General features: G+C 42.2%; 1 long non-coding RNA gene across 1 annotated transcript in view, besides 1 other annotated feature; it reads right to left on the bottom strand.

Moving 5' to 3' along the window:
- Window positions 1-15264, bottom strand: part of RHOXF1-AS1 (RHOXF1 antisense RNA 1) — a 110620-nt gene extending 95356 nt beyond the window's left edge. The window contains exon 1 of the long non-coding RNA NR_131238.1: window positions 14968-15264. This is a non-coding gene — a long non-coding RNA (RHOXF1 antisense RNA 1). The remainder of the gene's footprint in view (window positions 1-14967) is intronic.
- Window positions 7193-7694: an enhancer, noted in NCBI's record as "NANOG hESC enhancer chrX:119177771-119178272 (GRCh37/hg19 assembly coordinates)". NCBI's record gives its function as "activates a minimal SCP1, AML or CMV promoter by ChIP-STARR-seq in primed H9 embryonic stem cells {active_cell/tissue: H9 hESC(primed)}" and the evidence as "EXISTENCE:reporter gene assay evidence [ECO:0000049][PMID:30033119]".
- Window positions 15265-21120: the final 5856 nt, after the last annotated feature.

Genomic DNA, 21120 nt, shown 5'->3' with positions numbered 1-21120 from the left:
ACCACAAAGATGGGGAAAAAACAGAGCAGAAAAACTGGAAACTCTAAAAATCAGAGCGCCTCTCCTCCTCCAAAGGAACGCAGCTCCTCACCAGCAATGGAACAAAGCTGGATGGAGAATGACTTTGACGACTTGAGAGAAGAAGGCTTCAGACAATCAAACTACTCTGAGCTAAAGGAGGAAGTTCGAACCCATGGCAAAGAAGTTAAAAACCTTGAAAAAAAATTAGACGAATGGCTAACTAGAATAACCAATGCAGAGAAGTCCTTAAAGGACCTGATGGAGCTGAAAACCACAGCCCGAGAACTACATGATGAATGCACAAGCCTCAGTAGCTGATTCCATCAACTGGAAGAAAGGGTATCAGTGACGGAAGATCAAATGAATGAAATGAAGCGAGAAGAGAAGTTTAGAGAAAAAAGAATAAAAAGAAATGAACAAAGCCTCCAAGAAATATGGGACTATGTGAAAAGACCAAATCTACACCTGATTGGTGTACCTGAAAGTGACGGGGAGAATGGAACCAAGTTGGAAAACACTCTGCAGGATATTATCCAAGAGAACTTCCCCAATCTAGTAAGGCAGGCCAACATTCAAATTCAGGAAATACAGAGAACGCCACAAAGATACTCCTCGAGAAGAGCAACTCCAAGACACATAATTGTCAGATTCACCAAAGTTGAAATGAAGGAAAAAATGTTAAGGGCAGCCAGAGAGAAAGGTCGGGTTACCCACAAAGGGAAGCCCATCAGACTAACAGCTGATCTCTTGGCAGAAACTCTACAAGCCAGAAGAGAGTGGGGGCCAATATTCAACATTCTTAAAGAAAAGAATTTTCAACCCAGAATTTCATATCCAGCCAAACTAAGCTTCATAGGTGAAGGAGAAATAAAATCCTTTACAGACAAGCAAAATGCTGAGAGATTTTGTCACCACCAGGCCTGCCCTAAAAGAGCTCCTGAAGGAAGCACTAAACATGGAAAGGAACAACCAGTACCAGCCACTGCAAAAACATGCCAAATTGTAAAGACCATCGAGGCTAGGAAGAAACTGCATCAACTAATGAGCAAAATAACCAGCTAACATCATAATGACAGGATCAAATTCACACATAACAATATTAACCTTAAATGTAAATGGGCTAAATGCTCCAATTAAAAGACACAGACTGGCAAATTGGATAAAGAGCACACCCATCAGTGTGCTGTATTCAGGAAACCCATCTCACGTGCAGAGACACACATAGGCTCAAAATAAAGGGATGGAGGAAGATCTACCAAGCAAATGGAAAACAAAAAAAGGCAGGGGTTGCAACCCTATTCTCTGATAAAACAGACTTTAAACCAACAAAGATCAAAAGAGACAAAGAAGGCCATTACATAATGGTAAAGGGATCAATTCAACAAGAGAGCTAACTATCCTAAATATATATGCACCCAATACGGGAGCACCCAGATTCATAAAGCAAGTCCTTAGAGACCGACAAAGAGACTTAGACTCCAAGACTTTAACACCCCACTGTCAACATTAGACAGATCAACGAGACAGAAAGTTAACAAGGATACCCAGGAATTGAACTCAGCTCTGCACCAAGCGGACCTAATAGACATCTACAGAACTCTCCACCCCAAATCAACAGAATATACATTCTTTTCAGCACCACACCACACCTATTCCAAAATTGACCACATAGTTGGAAGTAAAGCACTCCTCAGCAAATGTAAAAGAACAGAAATTATAACAAACTGTCTCTCGGACCACAGCGCAATCAAACTAGAACTCAGGATTAAGAAACTCACTCGAGACCACTCAACTACATGGAAACTGAACAACCTGCTTCTGAATGACTACTGGGTACATAATGAAATGAAGGCAGAAATAAAGATGTTCTTTGAAACCAACGAGAACAAAGACAAAACATACCAGAATCTCTGGGACACATTCAAAACAGTGTGTAGAGGGAAATTTATAGCACTAAATGCCCACAAGAGAAAGCAGGAAAGATCTAAAATTGACACCCTAACATCACAATTAAAAGGACTTGAGAAGCAAGAGCAAACACATTCAAAAGCTAGCAGAAGGCAAGAAATAACTAAGATCAGAGCAGAACTGAAGGAAATAGAGACACAAAAAACCCTTCAAAAAATCAACGAATCCAGGAGCTGGTTTTTTGAAAAGATCAACAAAATTGATAGACCGCTAGCAAGACTAATAAAGAATAAAAGAGAGGAGAATCAAATAGACGCAATAAAAAATGATAAAGGGGATATCACCACTGATCCCACAGAAATACAAACTGCCATCAGCGAATACTATAAACACCTCTACGCAAATAAACTGGAAAATCTAGAAGAAATGGATAAATTCCTCGACACCTACACCCTCCCAAGACTAAACCAGGAAGAAGTTGAATCTCTGAATAGACCAATAACAGGCTCTGAAATTGAGGCAATAATTAATAGCTTACCAACCAAAAAAAGTCCAGGACCAGATGGATTCATGGCCGAATTCTACCAGAGGGACAAGGAGGAGCTGGTACCATTCCTTCTGAAACTGTTCCAATCAATAGAAAAAGAGGGAATCCTCCCTAACTCATTTTATGAGGCCAGCATCATGCTGATACCAAAGCCTGGCAGAGACACAACAAAAAAAGAGAATTTTAGACCAATATCCCTGATGAACATCGATGCAAAAATCCTCAATAAAATACTGGCAAACCGAATCCAGCAGCACATCAAAAAGCTTATCCACCATGATCAAGTGGGCTTCATCCCTGGGATGCAAGGCTGGTTCAACTTACGCAAATCACTAAACGTAATCCAGCATATAAACAGAACCAATGACAAAAACCACATGATTATCTCAATAGATGCAGAAAAGGCCTTTGACAAAATTCAACAGCCCTTCATGCTAAAAACTCTCAATAAATTAGGTATTGATGGGATGTATCTCAAAATAATAAGAGCTATCTATGACAGACCCACAGCCAATATCATACTGAATGGGCAAAAACTGGAAGCATTCCCTTTGAAAACTGGCACAAGACAGGGATGCCCTCTCTCACCACTCCTATTCAATATAGTGTTGGAAGTTCTGGCCAGGGCAATCAGGCAGGAGAAGGAAATAAAGGGTATTCAATTAGGAAAAGAGGAAGTCAAATTGTCCCTGTTTGCAGATGACATGACTGTATATTTAGAAAACGCCATCGTCTCAGCCCCAAATCTCCTTAAGCTGATAGGCAACTTCAGCAAAGTCTCAGGATACAAAATCAATGTGCAAAAATCACAAGCATTCTTATACACTAATAACAGACAAACAGAGAGCCAAATCATGAGTGAACTCCCATTCAGAATTGCTTCAAAGAGAATAAAATACCTAGGAATCCAACTTACAAGGGATGTGAAGGACCTCTTCAAGCAGAACTACAAACCACTGCTCAATGAAATAAAAGAGGATACAAACAAATGGAAGAACATTCCATGCTCATGGGTAGGAAGAATCAATATCGTGAAAATGGCCATACTGCCCAAGGTAATTTATAGATTCAATGCCATCCCCATCAAGCTACTAATGACTTTCTTCACAGAATTGGAAAAAACTACTTTAAAGTTCATATGGAACCAAAAAAGAGCTTGCATTGCCAAGTCAATCCTAAGCCAAAAGAACAAAGCTGGAGGCATCATGCTACCTGACTTCAAACTATACTACAAGGCTACAGTAATCAAAACAGCATGGTACTGGTACCAAAACAGAGATATAGACCAATGGAACAGAACAGAGTCCTGTTATCTACAACTATCTGATCTTTGACAAACCTGACAAAAACAAGAAATGGGGAAAGGATTCCCTATTTAATAAATGGTGCTGGGAAAACTGGCTTGCCATATGTAGAAAGCTGAAACTGGATCCCTTCCTTACGCCTTATATAAAAATTAATTCAAGATGGATTAAAGACTTAAATGTTAGACCTAAAACCATAAAAACCCTAGAAGAAAACCAGGCAATACCATTCAGGACATAGGCATGGTCAAGGACTTCATGTCTAAAACACCAAAAGCAATGGCAACGAAAGCCAAAATTGACAAATGGGATCTAATTAAACTAAAGAGCTTCTGCACAGCAAAAGAAACTACCATCAGAGTGAACAGGCAACCTACAGAATGGGAGAAAATTTTTGCAATCTACTCATCTGACAAAGGGCTAATATCCAGAATCTACAATGAACTCAAACAAATTTACAAGAAAAAAACAACCCATCAAAAAGTGGGCAAAGGATATGAACAGACACTTCTTGAAAGAAGACATTTATGCAGCCAAAAGACACATGAAAAAATGCTCATCATCACTGGCCATCAGAGAAATGCAAATTAAAACCACAACGAGATACCATCTCACACCAGTTAGAATGGCGATCATTAAAAAGTCAGGAAACAACAGGTGCTGGAGAGGATGTGGAGAAATAGGAACAGTTTTACACTGTTGGTGAGACTGTAAACTAGTTCAACCATTGTGGAAGACAGTGTGGCGATTCCTCAGGGATCTAGAACTAGAAATACCATTTGACCCAGCCATCCCATTACTGGGTGTATACACAAAGGATTGTAAGTCATGCTGCTATAAAGATACATGCACACGTATGTTTATTGTGGCACTATTCACAATAGCAAAGACTTGGAACCAACCCAAATGTCCAACAATGATAGACTGGATTAAGAAAACGTGGCACATATACACCATGGAATACTATGCAGCCATAAAAAATGATGAGTTCACGTCCTTTGTAGGGACATGGATAAAGCTGGAAACCATCATTCTCAGCAAACTATCACAAGGCCAAAAACCAAACACCGCATATTCTCACTCATAGGTGGGAATTGAACAATGAGAACACATGGACACAGGAAGGGGAACATCACACACCGGGGCCTGTTGTGGGGTGGGGGGAGGGGGGAGGGATAGCATTAGGAGATATACCGAATATTAAATGACGAGTTAATGGGTGCAGCACACCAACATGGCACATGTATACATATGTAACAAACCTGCATGTTGTGCACATGTACCCTAGAACTTAAAGTACAATAAAAAAAAAAAAAGAAAAAAGCCCCCACAATTGTATTACACACACACACACCTCTTCACATTGGTGGGAGGTCCCCTAGGACTGGGGCAGGGCTTTGTCAGCATACGTGAAATAGCTTCCATGATTCCCTTTGCTTTGGGTGGTTGCACTGTGGTGGCAGCAGTCTGGGAGCCAAGACAACAGAGATGTTTCCACTCTCAGAGAGAGCCCCGTTCTCTCAGGAAGGCAAAGTTTCCAGTGTCCCACTCAGTGGCCATGAGGGTAGGTCTGGAGCATGGGGTTGGGATGGGGGTGGGGGGACACTCATACGCTTGTCCTTAGTTCATTGACTGGAATGGTCTTGGGCGTCAGCTGGATGGCTTCAGCTAAGTTCCTGTTGCTGTAGCTGTGGGTTGGGGATGGGAGAGAGGGTCATCTACTGGGGGAAAACAGTCTCCTGAAACTGCCCATTCCAGACTGGGGAAAGACCGACCGATGGGAGAGGATATGTCTGAAGGCACAGAACATTATAGAACTGGCTCTCCATAGCCCTTATGCCATGCCCATTCACTCAGAGTAAATTGTAGTAAACTCTGCAAAAACAACAAAGTGTTTTGTAAATCAGTTAATTTCTTAAGCTTGCATGAACTAGTCATTGGCAACTTGATTGCTCCAAGAATGGCTCACTTGTTCACTTGGTCATTCTGTGACTTGGATTTTGGCAAAATGGCTCTTGATGAATTAACCAGGAGTCAAAATCATGACCGCCAACACCAAGCAATTAAGGCGAAGTCTTTGTCCATGGGAAGACCCTCTTTAGAACTTTCTCCATGGAGCCCTGTGTTCCAACGGGAGAAGGAAAATACTAGGATTTTATCCTTACATATCTGTGGGGACAAATCATTCTTGATCCTCCCAATGACCTTTTCTAGCTCTTTTTTTATCTGTACCTTCCTAATGAGATGCTAGGTAGGCAGAATGGGCAGAAAGAGCTGGGAGCATGGTCAAGTGTGGGGTCTTGGTGATGAATGGGGAGAACCACTGTAGGTACTTTTTTTTGTAGACAGTCCCCATTCCTAACAAACTCTGATACATGAATGATCAGATCCTTGTTTGGAGTACCAGCAGCAGTAGCTGAAGAAGCCTCAGAAGTCTTTAAGCAGCTCTTACCCAGGGTTCCCAGAAAGAATGCTTATGAATGCTGTTATAGCAACAATTTCAACCAATGGGAAGTAAAGCCCAAATATTTCTGCCCGTTTCAGTTCGGTCAAGGAGGAGGAAATGGGAGAGAGTGAGGGAAGGAGGAACATCAAATTTATCTGACCTCAATAACAGGACCAGTCTGTAGTATCCATACTCAGCTCCTTCCCAGCAAGAGATGAACTCATAGGGCTGTGCAAGGAGGAAGAGTGACAATAAGCCTTACAGCTGGTATGTATTCGGAGGTTCTTATGTGCCAGTTACTGTGTAAATACTCGGTATATGTTGTCATTTACTCCTCACAACAGATATTAGTGTTTTCATCTTAAATTTCAGGAAACAGACACAATGCTCATTTTCCCAAGGCTCAAACTCAGAGGTGTCTGTGTTTTACTTGGCTATTCCTAAATTCTGAGATCAGGGCCTCCCTTGTGGGCCTAAAGGTTACTCTTGTCTTTTATGAAAGAGAGAGACAGTATATTATAGTATGCTAACTATAATGGTTATCAGCAGAGGCAGAAGCAATTTACATATTGTTTCTTTTTCTTCAATTTCCTTGCCTATAAAATGGGGATAACAAGCTTACTGAACAGGATTTTTATGAGGATTGAATCAGATATTTCATTGAAAGACTGAGAGCAGAACCTGCCACATTGTAATCTTTCTTTACAAGGTTTAGATATTATTTCTGTTATTAAATATTTTGAGAGAGGATTGTAACCACCTGATGGGTTCTTCCTGCCTGCTGCACAAATGAAGACCATGGCATGGTAGTAAATAAAAGAATTTAATTGATGCAAGGCTGGCCACGCCACATGGGAGATAGAATTGTTACTCAAATCAATCTTCTTGAGCATTTAGGGGTAGGGTTTTCCAAAGATAGTTTTAGGGAGGGAGTTAGGGTGGCTAAGCAATGGGTGCTTGCTGCTGATTGGTTGGGGGTGCAATCATAAGGGTGCAGGAATGGTCCTTCTGCCCACTGAATATCTTCTGGGTGGGGCCACAGGAGTGGCTGGCAGGTCCAGGTGAAGCCATTGGTGTCAGACAGGCAAACAAATCTGAAAAGATATCTCAAAAGGCCAGTCTTAGGTTCTACAATAGTAATGTTATCTGGAGGAGTAATTGGGGAAGTAGCATATCTTGTGACCTCCAGAACAATAGCTGGCAATCGTTTATGTCTACACCTTAGCAGAATTTAGGCTCCTCTATCCCCCTAGCCTGGTGGTCTCTCATTAGCTTTACAAAGGCAGTTGAATTTTGGGAAAGGGCTATTATCATTTAAAGTATAAACTAAATGTCTCTCCAGGTTAGCTTGGCCTAACCCAGGAATAATTAGGGGCAGCTTGAAGGCCAAAGGCAAGATGGGACTTTGGCATGATCAGATCTCTTTCACTGCTATAATTTTCTCAGTGTTGTAATTTTTGCAAAAGCCGTTTCAGCCTCACTCTGTCACCCAGGCTGGAGTGCAGTGGTGCAATCACAGCTCACTGCAGCCTCAACCTCCCAGGCTCAAGTACTCCTCCTGCCTTAGCCTCCCAAGTAGCTGGGACCACAGGCACACACCACCACACCCAGCTAACTTTTTTATTATGTGTGGAGACTAGTTCTTCCTATGCTGCCCAGGCTGGTCTCAAACTCCTGACCTCAAGTGATCCTCCTGCCTCGGCCTCCCAAAGTGCTGGGATTACAGGTGTGAGCAACCATGTTCAGTCTACTATTATTTTAATAGTAGTGTAAATGGTGTTGTTTTAAATGTCCTTAATTAGTGAAATAAAAAGATAATAACCTATGTCAGGACCCAATTTTATTAACTTTATTAGTCCCTGACATCTCCAAGTATCAGAACCCCTGCCTTTAACCACTATGCTTTGTATGTGGAGTAGTTTCCCACCTTAAGACAATTGGTCTTAATTGCAATACAGAAAGGGAAGTGCTTCGTTGAATGTCCTCTGTATCCAGGAAGAAATACTAAGCTTGCTGCCTGGAAAACACTACACAAATCTAGGACCCATATGTAAACATCATGCTGCTGAGATGGCATGGAGGGGTCAGGGCACTGGGGTGGGAGGAGGAAGTGTAACTGCCCAAGGGGTTTACCTTGCCCACTGCCTAGGCAGAGCCGATTTATGAAGACAGGGGAATTGCAATAGAGAAAGAGTAATTCATGCAGAACCGGCTGTGTGGGAGACTGGAGTTTTATTATTACCTAAATCAGTCTTCTCGAGCATTCAGGGAGCAGAGTTTTTAAGGATAACTTGGTGGGTGGGGGGAAGCCAGTGAGCCAGGAGTGCTGATTGGCCGGAGATGAAATCATAGCGAGTCGAAGCTGTCTTCTTGTGCTGAGTCAGTTCCTGGGTGGCGGCCACAAGATCAGATGAGCCAGTTTATCCATTTGGGTGGTGCCAGCTGATCCATCAAGTGCAGGGTTTACAAAATATCTCAACCACTGATCTTAGGAGCAGTTTAGGAAGGGTTAGAATCTTGTAGCCTCCAGCTGCATGACTCCTAAACTATAATTTCTAGTCTTGTGGCCAATGTTGGTCCTACAAAGGCAATCTAGTTCCCAGGCAAGAAGGAAGTCTGCTTTGGGAAAGGCTATTACCATCTTTGTTCAAACTATAAACTAAGTTTTTCTCCAAGGTTAGTTGGGCCTACGCCCAGGAATGAACAAGGACAGCTTGGAGGTTAGAAGCAAAATGGAGTTGGTTAAGTTAAATCTCTTTCACTGTCTTAGTCATAATTTTGCAAAGGCGGTTTCAGAAGTATGGGAGTCAGTGTGGCTAAATAGGAGGAACAGAGACTCTCAATGCAGACAGAGGGTTTCAAGTCACAGATCTGCCACTTACTGGATTTGTGACTTTAGGCAGGTTGTTTTAGCTTTCTGAGCCTCATCTGTACAATGGAATTTTCACAGTAATTAGTTCATAGGGCTGAAAAGAAGATGAAATGAAGAGATTCAAGTAGAACACTCAGAACAAGGCCTGCCATGCTGTAGGTGTTTAATAAACATTACCTTCCACAGTGATGATGATTAAGGGACTAAATTTCATGCACGTCCATGTGAAGAGACCACCAAACAGGCTTTGTGTGAGCAACGGGGCTGTTTATTTTACCTGGGTGCAGGCGGGCTGAGTCCAAAAAGAGAGTCAGTGAAGGGAGATAGGGGTGGGTGGGGCTGTTTTATAGGATTTGGGTAGGTAGTGAAAAATTACAATCAAAGTGGGTTTTTCTCTTATGGGCAGGGGCAGGGGCCACAAGGTGCTCAGTGGGGGAGGTTTGGAGCCAGGTGAAGGAATTTCACAAGGTTAATTGCTCAGTTAAGGTGGGGCAGGAACAAATCACAATGGTGGAATGTCATCAGTTAAGGCAGGAACCGGCCATTTTCACTTCTTTTGTGATTCTTCACTTGCTTCAGGCCATCTGGATGTATACGTGCAGGTCACAGGGGTTACGATGGCTTAGCTTGGGCTCAGAGGCCTGATACTAACCATAACAGATAGAATTTAAAAAGCAGAGGAACCAAAAACAGCCCACCACTCTCCTGAGCTGGGAGAATTTGCCCAGAATTCCAGGGATAGGTGTGTCCTAAGCTTCCGCTAGGTAGGGTCAATGCCCAGCAGCCAAGCCAGAAGGAAGATTTGGGCAGACACTGTCATTGGTGAACACGTAAGCTCCAGAGCTAGAATACTACTGATGATGGTGACTGGCTTTGGTTCTTCCGTCTGGTCTGACACCCAGAAAGCCGATCAGACTCACCGCTATGAACCTTCTAGTGCCACAGCAGGCCAGAAACCACAGCCCTGCCTCCCCTTCTCCTGAGTTCCCGGTGTGGGTGTGGTAGGGGCACGGGTGGATTCAGTATTTCTGTAATGGAAACTAGAAACACGTAGCCCCACAGTAGCTGCATTCCAAAGGGGCAGAGATCTGACTTCCTTTGTTTCATGCTTTTAGAGACAATGACAGCAAGACCTCTCACAGGAAGTGCTAGGACCACTGGAGAGAGTGAATTCAACTCTTGGCCAAAAACCTATGGGTGATCTTTCAGGCCTCGCCATAGGCAATTACAAAAGCTTTACCTGGCAGGGATCATGGGGGGACGTGCCCTCCCCACATCAGACCTGATGCACAGCCGTGCATTGCAGTCTGTGAATGGAGTTGCAGTCAAGGACTCAGACGTCCCGAACTGATCATGCTCTCACACATGTCGGCATTCCTAGACCAGATGCCTCCATTTGGAGTCCGCCTTATCAGGAGCCTTTGGCAGAGGCCTTTCTCAAGCACCTGAGCTAAGACCTCTTGTTGCCATGGTGGGAGTGGGGGATGCCTAAAAATATTTTTTTCTTCAAGCTGACTCAGTACTCAGTACTTTTCTACTCCTAGCCCTTCCCTGTCACCTCCTCCTGCCCCTGGGTCCATAAAATGGCAGGAGCCTCTTGTTCAGGGCTCCCTTAACAGTGAGATGATGATGCCCTGCATCTGTGGTCAGACCCCTGTTGGAGCCACCCCATGTGGAAAAATGGAATAATGGAGGAGTCGGTACTTTTTCTGGTTCAGTCCCTTGCTTATACTATCAAAGGCAGTTATTAAAGTCTGACTGTTACTTTTATTTTGACTCGTCTTAATCGACTACTCTGACACCCAGCAGCTCAGCTCTCTCTAGCTCAGCTGAGCTCTTGAAAAATTGGAATGGCAAGCTGGGTAGTTGATTATGCACAATGTCGTTTCTGAAGAGCAAAGAGCCTGAAAATCTCGTGGGGCAATTCACTAATGATGGGTGTAAGCAGACCTTGCAGGGCACTCCTGGAGGATGCTAATGGATTATTTGCCAGAGTCAGAGGATCTGACCGGGCACTCTGCCAGTGAGTCCTGGGAAGTGCTAGCAGACCTCACGTGGCACTTTACCAGCCATGCCAGCAGGTCTCAGGAATTGCTATTGTAAGTCACAGGGTATACTTGGAGGATGATAGAAAATTGTTTATAAAAGCTTTTGGTTCCAAGGTAACCATCGGTCCTCCTGTTTATCCCCATCACCTCGGCTGAGATAACCTAGTGGATCAAATAAGAGATCCAGCAGAGGGGCTCTAAGAAGCCACAGAAACAATTCCCTGGACACCGTTCTCTGATGATGGGGCCAGAAGTCGTTGGAGACCCTGTAAACTGACCTGTACCCCAAAACTATTCCTAGATCTAAGCAGTTCCCTGGGGCTGACGGACAACATGCCATGCAGCATGTTACTGAGACTCATGCTTCTAATAAAAATAATGTAGAGCTCTTTAGAATCACTTTGTCCAGTGATCTCACTAGATAGGGTCAATGCCCAGCAGCCAAGCCAGAAGGAAGACTTGCTTAGGGGAAGAAACCACAGAGACTTGGCTAGTTTGCTTCCATTACGAAAAAGGTAATCTTGTTAAATAAACTTCATAAAGGAAAGTGGCTCCTTGAGGGGTACATCACTACAGACCCCCTCCTCCATAGTGCCTTGATAGTGGCCACTTTCTCTGAGGAGGAGGAGCAAGGTGGGGAGATGAGAGTGTATGTATACCAACGACCATCTCTTTCCTCAGCTGGGTACTATTTGGTCTCTGACAGATTTGGTCCACACATAATGAGTACCTAGTCACTGAAAAACATGTCTCAACCACCTTCGCAGAGACTATGGAGGTCCTGCAGCCCTCCTGGTGGTCTCTTGGGTCTACTACGAGGGAGTGGGAACGGTAGATGAGAAGATTAACCAGACTTAGATTTACGGGTTTGTTCATGCTGCTCCTGCTTGTTGTCAAGCCCAATTAAGCCACCTCCTGAGGTCAAGTCCATCAATCTGCAGTGTGATCCAGATCTTAACTCAGAAATTCTCAGGCACAGAAGAAATGGCTTCCGATAAAATAGCAAAATTTGACCCCTCCCCTCCAAAAAGGGAGCATAAAAATAGTACTTGAGTGCCCTCTTCTGGACTGTCTGGGCAAGGGCCTTCCCAAAGAGATCTCTGAGTCTGATTACTCAATAATGGAACCACGAAAGCAGATTGATGGGCTCCCCACTAAAAAATTCAGGGCCAAGTACCAGGCCATGGGGATTTGATAAGTGGTCCCGCTAGAGTCTGCACAGTGATGGCCTTCCACCTCTCCTGGTGGATTTGGAGACAAATCAGAGATCCTGAGCAACTTTTGCTCTGACACTCAGCTTTCAAATATAAACAAGATTAGGGGTTACAAACAAAAATCCAAAGATTTTAGGGGTTATAAACAAGATCCTTCTGTACTCAGGGGACCCAGAGGCCCTATGCCAAGGTTAGAGTTCAACTGAACAGTGGAGAGGAATTGCACTTCTTAGGCCTTTTAGATACCAGTACACAGGTGACTGTGATCCCCACAAACCCTTGCATCAAGATGAGGAGAAAACAGATCGTGTTCTCTGACTTTGGGCTCCTACTAACCTCCGTTGTCATGGCCCCCACTACTGAATGAAATATTGGCAGTGATGTGTTTTCCATGTGCAGCCCCACTTGCCTTTGCCTCCAAGCCCTGACAGGAATTGCAATAGTTATGGCCATCTTAGTGAGAAATATAGAAGACCATGGACCCATCTGATGACCAACACCTAGTACTGTTGTTTCCCAAAAAACAATGTCAGCTGCCTAGGGGAGAAAAAGAATAATTGCCATCATTGCTGAGCTTAAGGAAGCCAAAATGTTTCATGAGACTGTTTCTCCATTCAATAGCCCCATCTGGCCTGTGCACAAGACCTTGGTTTCTTGGAGACTTACCACTGATTTTAGGCAGCTCAATGCGTAATACCACCTTTGGCACCAGCAGTACCTGACATTGTGACTATTACAGAGGCCCAAAACAGAGAGAACTTGGTATGCAGCAATTGATATTGCAAAGGCATATCAAATTGTAGTCCCCAGTGTTGGAGATGGGGCCTGGTGAGAGGCGATTAGATCATAGGGGCAGATTTCCCCTCTAGTTTTGTTCTAATGATAGTGAGTAATCATGACATCTGGCTGTTTAAAAGTGTAGCATCGGCTGGGCATGCCCTCAGCCTCCCAAGTGTCTGGGATTACAGGCACTTGCCACCATGCCCCGCTAATTTTTGTATTTTTAGTAGAGATGGGGTTTTACCATGTTGGCCAGGTTGGTCTTGAACTCCTGACCTCGTGATCTGCCCACCTTGGCCTCCCAAAGTGCTGGGATTACAGGCATGAGCCACTGTGCCCAGCCTAGTCTCTAGCTTTTAACTGGATCTCAGCTCTGGGCAGAGCCCACGCTGAATCCTGGATCTCCAAAAGATAGAATTATCATGATTCTAGACCATGTGATGCATTTGCACTGCACTTTGTTACAAAGACTTTCCTCTAAGTGTCTAAAGTATACCTTTTCTTATCTTAAACACCCGAAGAGTAGCCTCTGTTGTAATAACTTAGTCCAAAAATCAGGTAACACAGTACAAAAGCAAGCAGTTTAAGATCTGAGAGGAACTTGTCTGTTTAGACTCTTGGGGTTCCATAAGGAAAAACAGATGTTTCTCCTCAAAAAGGACTCTAGTGCCTTCTCTGTTTTATTTAAGGAATTACAGGCTGTTAGAAACTATTTTGGGTCCCTCATGCAGCAGAGGGGAACAAGAGAAAGGAGAGATAGGCAGAAGTAAATGGAGAAAACAGAATTCATTTGACTGACTGAGAAGGAAAAAACCTTTTTCTCAAAAAACAAGGTACTAGGAGAGAAAAAAAAAACAGGCCAGGCACGGTGGCTTACGCCTGTAATCCCAGCATTTTGGGAGGCTGAGGAAGGCAGATTACCTGAGGTTGTCGGGAGTTTGAGACCAGCCTGACCAACATGGAGAAATCCCATCTCTACTAAAAATACAAAATTAACTGGGTGTGGTGTCGTATGCCTGTAATCCCAGCTATTTGGGAGGCCGAGGCAGGAGAATTGCTTGAACCCGGGAGGTAGAGGTTGCAGTGAGCCAAGATCGCACCATTGCACTCCAGCCTGGGCAACAAGAGTGAAACTCCTTCTCAAACAAACAAAACAAAACAAAAAACCATAAAGGCCTTTTAAATATACACACACACACACACATCGTGGATATTAGCTTTTAATTAAACTGACTTTTAGCCACTAAGCTCTTAAAAAATTCTTCTAAATCTCACTACCCTATTTTAGCTGGAACAAATTGCTGATATTTCAAAAATAACACAAATATCAAACCAGAAAGAACTTGATTTAGGAACCAAACCCAGGCTGTTGTGGTGGAAAAAAGGGCAAAACCTTAGCTACAGAACTGCAGTGTGGAGCACAGTTTGGCTTGGCTAGCAAAAGGTGGCCTTGTTATGTAAATAAAGCCCCTCAGGTAGTCAAAATCTTTCTTTTTTCCTGTTGATGGCTGTTTATCCTTTTCCCTTTTCCCCCCCAGCTGCAGGAATTTACCCAATGCAGAGGCGTTGTTCCTCACCATTTGTAACTTTCCTTCACATTTGATATAGTTGGGTAGAGTTAGTCAAATCCAATGGGAAAAAGACCAAAACAACAAAACAAACAAATAAATGAAAAAACAGTTTGGCAAAACAAACAAATGATCATACTATGTATACAATTCCTGAGCACTCTAATGGTAAGGAGAAATTAAGAGCTGCTGGTTGTTAATCTTAACTTTAGGTCATTAAGGAGAATTTTCAAGATAAAACCCCAATTCAGCTACTTACCTAGGAATGGAGTCCAGGCTCAACACTGCTCTCTACCAGCCTATAAGCAGGAAAAAAACTCCAACTCGCCTTCCCTGTTGGAATTGAGCTGAAACTCCAGAAAGGAGTTGCCTGCCCTCCATCATCATGGAAGCAGGAAAACTCACCTTCCTTGTTGAAAGTGAGTAAAACTCCAGAAAAGGAGTTGTACAGCAAAAAAAAACCTTAGATATCGACCAAATTTGGGGAGATCAGGGTGAGGGAAGAGACGGACCCTCTCATATTGTTTTATATTGTTTTATACTCAGTACCTGTTTTAAGAAAAAAACAAGGAAGTGAAACCAAGGGCAGGCAGCCAGGCACCAGACCCAAAACCAGAACTGAAACCAGGCCTGGGCCTGCCTGGCCTAAACCTAGTAGTTAAAAATCAACTCATGACTTAGCAACCGATGTTATCCATAGATTCCAGACATTGTATGGAAGAACGCTGTGAAACTCCCTGCTCTGTTCTGTTTCACTCTGACTACCGGTGCATGAAGCCCCTGTCACATACCCCCTAGATTGCTCAATCAATCACGACCCTTTCATGTGAAATCTTTAGTGTTATGAGCCCTTAAAAAGGACAGAAACTGTGCACTCGAGGAGCTCGGATTTTAAGACAGTAGCTTGCCGATGCTCCCAGCTGAATAAAGCCCTTCCTTCTACAACTCAGTGTCTGAAAGATTTTGTCTGCAGCTCGTCCTGCTACAAGGGATTGTCTGGAGGGGGGAAGTTCCCAGGCCTCAGCAAATCTGCCTATTGATTTGAGCAATAAAGATATCTCAAGCTGGTACCAAGCAGTAATAGAAGATTTGTCAAAGGTCAGGGGCACCTCCACTCAGAATCCCTTGGTGGTTACCAATTTGTAAACCAAAAAGTATCTGAGCTAGGTCTCAATTAACTTGGAAATTTTATTTTACCAAGGTTAAGAACATGCATCTGGAAGGCAGGTCTATGCCTTTTTCCAAAGAAGATTTTGTGGACTTCAGTATTTAAAGGCAAAAGGGCAGATATTGGGGGAAAAGGAAAAAAAATTAAAGGTGTGGGTAGATAACAGACAAATGGTTGCATTATTTTGAGTGTTTGATAAACCTTTCACTGAATACACAGTTTACATGTGAGAGAAGGGTAGAGGAATAGTTACTTATGCCTTTGTCAGCTCAGTGAATCTGCATTTTTACATTAGGAAAGCAATCAGATATGCATCTGTCTCAGATGAACAGAAGGATGACTTTGAGTTCTGTTCTTTGTCTAGAACCTGTGAAGATAAGCTATCAATTTACATTGTCAGGGTAAAATTCAACAGAACCATTTTAAGGTAAACATCTTGGGGCTCAAAAGGAATGTCCCAGTGGACAAATTGTGAGACATGTATGTAGCTTTTTTTTTTGTTTGTAGCTATCTTATTTAAGAATAAAATGGGAGGTAGGTTTGCCTGATGCAGTTCCCAGCTTGACTTTTCCCTTTGGCTTAATGATTTTGGAGTCCTGAGATTTATTTTCCTTTTACAAGACATTACCATTCCAAAAGAATGAATATGGGAGGCATAAAGTGGTTTCTTGTCCCAAGTAAGTTCAAAATTTAGCATGGCAGGGCCAGGTGTGGTGGCTCACGCCTATAATCCCAGCACTTTGTGATGCTGAGGTGAGTGGATCACTTGAGGTCAGGAGTTCGAGACCAGCCTGGGTAACATGGTGAAACCCCCCTCCTCGTCTCTACTAAAATACAAAAATTAGAGGGGCATTGTGGTGAGTTCCTGTCATCCCAGCTACTCAGGAAGCTGAGGCAGGAGAATTGCTTGAACCTGGCAGGTGGAGGTTGCAGTGAGCTGAGATTGTACCACTGCACTCCAGCCTGCGTGACAGAATGAGATTTCATCTCAAAAAAGTAAATAAATAAATAATTAGCATAGCTAATTCCATTAGATTTCAAGGCCTAGGAACAATCCTCTTTAGCTCAATGTTCTGCCATCTGGTCTTGCAGTGATCCACCAGCTTCTGTGCCACCCTCATAATTCACTCTTCCTTTTTCTTGAAGGCTAATGTGTCTTTGCAGTCTAGTAGCCCTGTCAGCTCATATCCTGCCTATAGATTTCCAGAAGTCCAACAGTCTTCCTTCATTTCATCCCATATCTATCTCCTTTACTCCAAGATGCCAGTATTTCTGTTGATATAACATTCTCAAAATCCTTATCAGTCTCGTGTGTGTTATGGGAGTCCATGTCATTAGACAAGATCCTTCCTGGATAAACCCATCTCTATTCCTGCCTTCAGCTGATATGGTTGATTGGATCCATGAATCACATATATAATCTCTTTAGCAAGATTGTCCAGCCATACTGTTGGCCTTCTCTTCAGAGTATGCTTTTGCGACAATAAATTTTCTAATTTTGGCATCCTTTGGAATCACGATAGGCTGAGAACCTCCAAAATCAAGTGCTAGTTACTTTTTGCCTAATAGTTCTTTCCTCAATTTATATCTTTCACATTGAAATGGGAGAGTTCACTGACCCCCCTTGCAGGGCCTGCAACAGGGGTGTGGCTCGTCTGTTTGGCCACTGCATGCTCAAACCCCTTATGGGAGGGGGAGCACGCATTTGAGCTAGGGCAAGCACTTTTGGGCTCTGGGCCTACAGCAATATCCAGGGATGTTACAATGCTCCTTTAGCCCTGCCATCCAGGGACAGCTTAAGTGTTAAACAGCTCAGTGCCCTCTTGGTACTGGGTTCCTGTCCAGCATCCAGGAAGAATCAGGTCACACAGACAAATTGAAGGATGGTAAATGTGGCGTATTTTATTGCTGGATGGAGGTGGCTCTCTGCAGGATGGATGGGGAGCTGGAAAGGGAATGGAGTGGGAAGATAATCTTCCCCTGGAGTTCAGTCGTCCCTTGGCTGATCTCCTCTCCTACCGTCCCCAGCCTAACTCCTCTTGATGTTCAGAAGCTCCTTCTCTTCTCTCCTTCTCTGCCACACCACTCTTCTGTTCCTCTGCTCTTCTGCTTGTCTGCTCATCTGCTTGTGGATCCTGGGGTTTGGAGTTTATACAGGTACAGGATACAGGGGCGTGGCAGGCCAAAAGGCAGCATTTGGGCACAAAAACAGGAACGCTTGTTCCCATTTAGGGCCACGGGTTTCCAGACTTGAGGGTGGGGCCTTTGCTGGGAAACCACCCTCTTCTACCCAGTATTTCCCTGTCTCCTGTCTGTATCAATATTACATTTTACTATAAGCAGCAAGGAGAAACCAGGTTATGAAGATAAGCTATCAATTTACATTGTCAGGGTAAAATTCAACAGAACCATTTTAGGGTAAAGATCTTGGGGTTCACAAAGAAAAATCTTAAGGATTTTGCCTGTAAATTTCTGCCAAATATCCAAGTTCATCACTTTCAAGTTCTGCTTTCCATGTGACTGAAGAACATAGTTCAGCCAAGTTTTCTGTCACTGTATAACAAGCATTGCCTTTCCTCCCATTTTCAGTAACATTTTCTTCATTTCTTTCCAAGACCTCTATACAATCAACTTTAATATTCCTATTTCTAACAACAGTCTCTTCAGGGCAATTTAGGTTTTTTTCTATCACGCTTCTCAAAAATTTTTCTAGTCTCTATCCATGGCCTAATTCCAAAGCCAATTCCACATTTTAGGTCTTTAGTACAGCAACATCCCACTTCTAGTTTCAAAATCTGTATTAGTCAGGGTTCTTTCAGAAAAAAAAAAAAAAAAAAACCAACAGGGTATATATGTATTTGATTTGTTTCAAGGAATTGCCTTAGATGATTGTGGGGTCCAGCTAGGTAAGTCCAAAATCTGTAGGGAACTTGGGAAGCCTAGAAACTCTCAGGTGGAAACTGAGGCTGCAGTCAGCAGGCAGAATTTCTTCTTCCTCTGGGCATATCAGTTTTGCTCTTAAGGCATTTCAACTGATTGGATGAGGCCCACCAAGATTATCCAAGACAGTCTCCTTTACTTAAAGCAACTGATTATAGATGTTAACCACATCTATATAATACCCTCACAGCAGCATCTAGATTAGTGTTTGAATAACTGGGTACCATCACCTAGCCAAGTTAACAAATTAAACTAACCATATCTATTCAACTAATTAAATATAGTAATACAACCAAATAAATGACATTTTTTTCCATGCAGTATTTCAAAATACTTAAGAGTAGGCAACATATTGGCCCAAGGTCAGTGGCTCTGAGGGTAGCTGGACCACATCAGTCAGAACTGCTATAAAATAAAATAAAATAAAATAAAATAAAAAATAAAAAAACCTTCTGGCTAACTGCACTTGCAAAAAATCAAGAGAAATCCAAGATACACAGCACCACTACAGTCTTCTAGCTTCAAATAGTTGTAATATGATTCACTCCTAGCAATAGAGTAAAAAGGTAAAGCTCAAGTTACAAGTTAATTGATATTTTCCATAGCATATACCATAAAGAAAGGTGAAAAATTCAGACCCTAATGCTGATTCTGACCAACTCTCATTTTCACCGGTTATTTTGCAGTCCCTCACTATTCAGCTGTGAAATTCATCTAAGGACATAAACTTAGTGTGTAATTTCTCCTCCGAAGGCAAAGTGGAAAGATATCAGAACTACACATTGACAGATTTAGTAATAGACTTAGTAATGTTGTTAATAGTCTTCTATATCCCTGACTGTCTGTAATAGAAATACAACTACTCGTTCTCTTTCTTCCTTTCCAGAGAAATGAGATCTGTGAAGCACAAAATAAAGACTAGAGGCTGTATTACATGAAGTTTGTCATGTAACAAGTCATTGCCTAATTAACATGGAGTAGTACAATAAAAGAGTATCACTCTCAGCATGAAAGCCACCTCCCTCCTTCTGTAAACCTTGCCTTGTATGATGAGGACAACATAAATCACACAGTGCAGGTGTGTTTAAAGTCAGCATCAGAACAAATGTTAAATTGGATAAAATATCAATATCAAAAATGATTTTTTCTTACTTACTAGACCCTGATGTCATCTGTGGAATTGCTGTATATACATGGAATATCACTATCTTTACAGTAGTTATACATTTTCAGATCTTCATATTATCTGGTTACAGATCTTCATATTATCTGGTTACCTTTAGCACTGAACATGCAACTCCTTATTCCAAGTGACAACTACACTCTTTTAATAAATAAATAATGGTAGCTGTTTCTGCTCTGTTGACTTACAGATTGACAAAATGACCAGAAAGAATGAGAGTTGGTCAGAATCAGCATTAGGGTCCAAATTCTTCACCTCCCTTTTCGTGGCATTTGACTATAGGAAACATCAATTAACTTGTAATAATTTGAGCTTTTACTTTTTTACTCTATTGTTAAATACCATACAGGATGAATGAATGTTGAAAGTGTGATCTCAGTTTTAAAAGTGTCCTAACTGGAATTGTAAACACTATAGGATTCAGATAAAAAACTAGAAAAAAATAAAACTTTTGTTGTATTCTAGTGAATGCTGAAGGAACAATGTTTTCGAACATACTAACATGTATAACAATATTAGCAAGTACCATTTATGAAGTATTAAGTGCTAGTCACAGTGATAGGTTTTTGATGTACATTATATCTATAATTTTAAATGCCAGTTTTTTTCCATTTCTAAATTCCATAGAATCATCTGACATTATATTAAATATAGATTATAACTGATTGGTAAAAGAAATGACATAATCATTTCAGTCCCTAACAGAAATTGCACATTATAGGTATTTGAGGATTAAATCATGAGCTAAGTACAATTAAGCACTCATCCAAATCTCTTTTGGCAGCTGATATAGTAAGAGTGTAGGCTTCTTTGGTGACCTACTCTCTACAAAATGCTTTCCATAAGTTTATTTAACTACATTTTAAATTATATAAGTAATCTATGAATGCACATTTTTGGTAAACTTTGACAATTCAAGCAGTAAAACCAAAGGCCCCTCTTCTCCTTACCCCACACCTTCAACATGCATGAACACTCATGCAATCCTAGCCCTCTCTCCTGAGGTAACCATTGTTTTCAATTTAGTATGTATCCTTGACATTTTTCCTTTGTATCCTCATACATAATCATATTACCAATACAAATATATAGTTTTTTAAAAACAGAATTTGAATCATCCT

Source organism: Homo sapiens, chromosome X (genome assembly GCF_000001405.40).
Source record: "Homo sapiens chromosome X, GRCh38.p14 Primary Assembly".
In the NCBI taxonomy this organism is placed as follows: domain Eukaryota; kingdom Metazoa; phylum Chordata; class Mammalia; order Primates; family Hominidae; genus Homo; species Homo sapiens.
This window is presented reverse-complemented; position numbering and strand designations above follow the sequence as displayed.